Source organism: Homo sapiens, chromosome 19, assembly GCF_000001405.40.
Source record: "Homo sapiens chromosome 19, GRCh38.p14 Primary Assembly".
Taxonomy (NCBI): Eukaryota; Metazoa; Chordata; class Mammalia; order Primates; family Hominidae; genus Homo; species Homo sapiens.
The window spans coordinates 52,758,450-52,760,823 of record NC_000019.10 but is presented as its reverse complement, the minus strand read 5'-3'; the positions used below and the strand labels follow the sequence as shown (position 1 = coordinate 52,760,823).

General features: G+C 43.7%; 1 annotated feature.

Moving 5' to 3' along the window:
* Positions 436–986: an enhancer, noted in NCBI's record as "H3K27ac hESC enhancer chr19:53263091-53263641 (GRCh37/hg19 assembly coordinates)". NCBI's record gives its function as "activates a minimal SCP1, AML or CMV promoter by ChIP-STARR-seq in primed H9 embryonic stem cells {active_cell/tissue: H9 hESC(primed)}" and the evidence as "EXISTENCE:reporter gene assay evidence [ECO:0000049][PMID:30033119]".

Below are 2,374 nucleotides of genomic sequence, written 5' to 3'. Positions count from 1 at the left end.
CTCCCTCACTCTTAAAAAGGTTCTTTGTAATCTCCCCCACCCTTCAGAAGGTTCTTTGTAATTCTCCCCACCCTTGAGAATGTACTTGGTGAGATCCACCCCCTGCCCGCAAAACATTGCTCCTAACTCCACCGCCTGTCCCAAAACCTATGAGAACTAATGATAATCCCACCACACTTTGCTGACTCTCTTTCCAGACTCAGCCCGGCTGCACCCAGGTGAAATAAACAGCCTCATTATTTAAACAAATTGTGTTTGGCGGTCTCTTCACACGGACGTGCATTACACTTTGTGTGATTGTGTTACAGGGAGGGCATGTGTTGATTCTGAGCAATAAATAACATATTTTTAACATTCAGGATTGACTTCTAAAGACTTTTGGTACGTGAGGAAGAAACCCAGAAGAGGAAGAGGAAAGCAAAGGAGTCAGGGATGGCTCTTCCTCAGGTGAGATGATATTCTCGGTGGATTGTTCTGTCTCCTTCCTTTGAGTAACGCTGGGCCTTGGAGTTGGGAGTCTTCTCTGAGTCTGAAGCATCCTTCCTGACAGGTTTGCTCACACTCACCCATGCCTTCCCTCATTCCCTCTTATCTGGCTTAGATTTTATCTTTCATGATCCAGTGACATGAACATAGGAGAGGCTGCACTGGGCATGGTCCTGGGAAGGGCTCACACCCAGACATGGATGGAGACGGAGTGAGGGTCCCATGGTGTCAGTGCTGTTGGGCAGCAGGGATTGTTCAGGGGCCACATCTGGATGCTCTGTCATCTCTCTGTGGACCAGGATTAGAGCAGCTGCCAATGGAAGTCACGTATTAATGTGCACAAAGTAGGTCTAAATTCTAGAAAAGGAGACCAATAAGAAAAAATCTTTTCTCCCTGATTTTATACTACATTTTTAGGTAATTTAGTGAATTACTGTGTTTCTGACTCCAAAAATTGTACTAATTAGAATGGAAAGTTCATACACAGACATGAATGATAGAAGGTGTTTTATTCCATCATTAGTTTAAGAATAGGAAATCAACCTAAATAATAGCAGGAGATTCATTAAACCATTCTTAGCACATTAAGCTCATGGAGACTGTGGGGTTACTGTGGAGAGGCTTGTGAAACAGGTGTTTTCGGTAAAAATGGTTACAATTTATTTTTTGAGATGGAGTCAGCCTCTGTCACCCAGGCTGGAGTGCAGTGCCATGATCTCAGTTTACTGCAACCTGCGCCTCCCAGGTTCAAGTGATTCTCCTGCCTCAGCCTCCCAAGTAGCTGGGGTTACAGGTATGTGCCTCCAGGCCCGGTTAATTTTTTTGTATTTTTAGTAGAGGTGGGGTTTCATCATGTTGGCCAGGGTGGCCTCAAACTCCTCACCTCAGGTTATCTGCCCACCTCAGCCTCCCAGAGTGCTGGGATTACAGGCACAAGCCACTGTGCTCAGCCCCACCAATTATTATTAAATAGATATTTTGATATTTAAACATCACGTGATGGATATATTTGTTTTCTAGTAAAACCCCGAGCAAAGCTGCAGCTTAGACCCTTTGCCATAAAGTATCTCCTTTCCCTGTCACGTCCTCCACCCTCCTTCCAACCTCACTGGGGAGCCGCTACTGGCAATTCTGTGTTAGGTGTCAAAGCAAGTCTCATACACGTGTATTTCTGCATCATTATGAGACTTTAAAAATAATTCTGTAGTAAATTAAAAAAATAAAACGTTTTATATTTATGTTTTTACTTTAGGATTGGGGCTACATGTGATGGTTTGTTACATAGGCAAACTCATGTCATTGAGGTTTGTTGTACAGATTATTCTATTGCTCCAGTATCAAGCCCAGTACCCAATAGTTTTTTTTTTCTTTTTTCTTTTTTTGACACTAAGTTTTGCACTTGTTTATTCAGGCTCGAGTGTGATGGCATGATCTCGGCTCACTGCAACCTCAGCCTCCTGGGTTCAAGCAAGTCTCCTGCCTCAGCCTCCCGAGTAGCTGGGATTACAAACACATGCCACCACCACACCTGGCTAATTTTTGTATTTTTAGTAGAGGCAGGGTTTCACCATGTTGGCCAGGCTGATGTTGAACTCCTGATGTCAGATGATCGAAGCCTCTCAGCCTCTCAAAGTGCTGGGATTACAGGTGTAAGCCACTGTGCCCAGCCCCCAATAGCTATTTTTTCTAGTCTTCTCCTTCCTCCCACTCTCTACCCTCAAGTAGACCCCAGCGTCTGTTGTTTTCTTCTTTGTGTTTTAGTAAATATTTTACTTTGATATTTGATCCTGCTAGTTGCGAAAATTTACATGTTGTCAAGTTAGTAAACATGGCTAGCTTGCTCTTTGACATCTGCTTTGGAAATTGGCTGAATGACAACATGTGGATC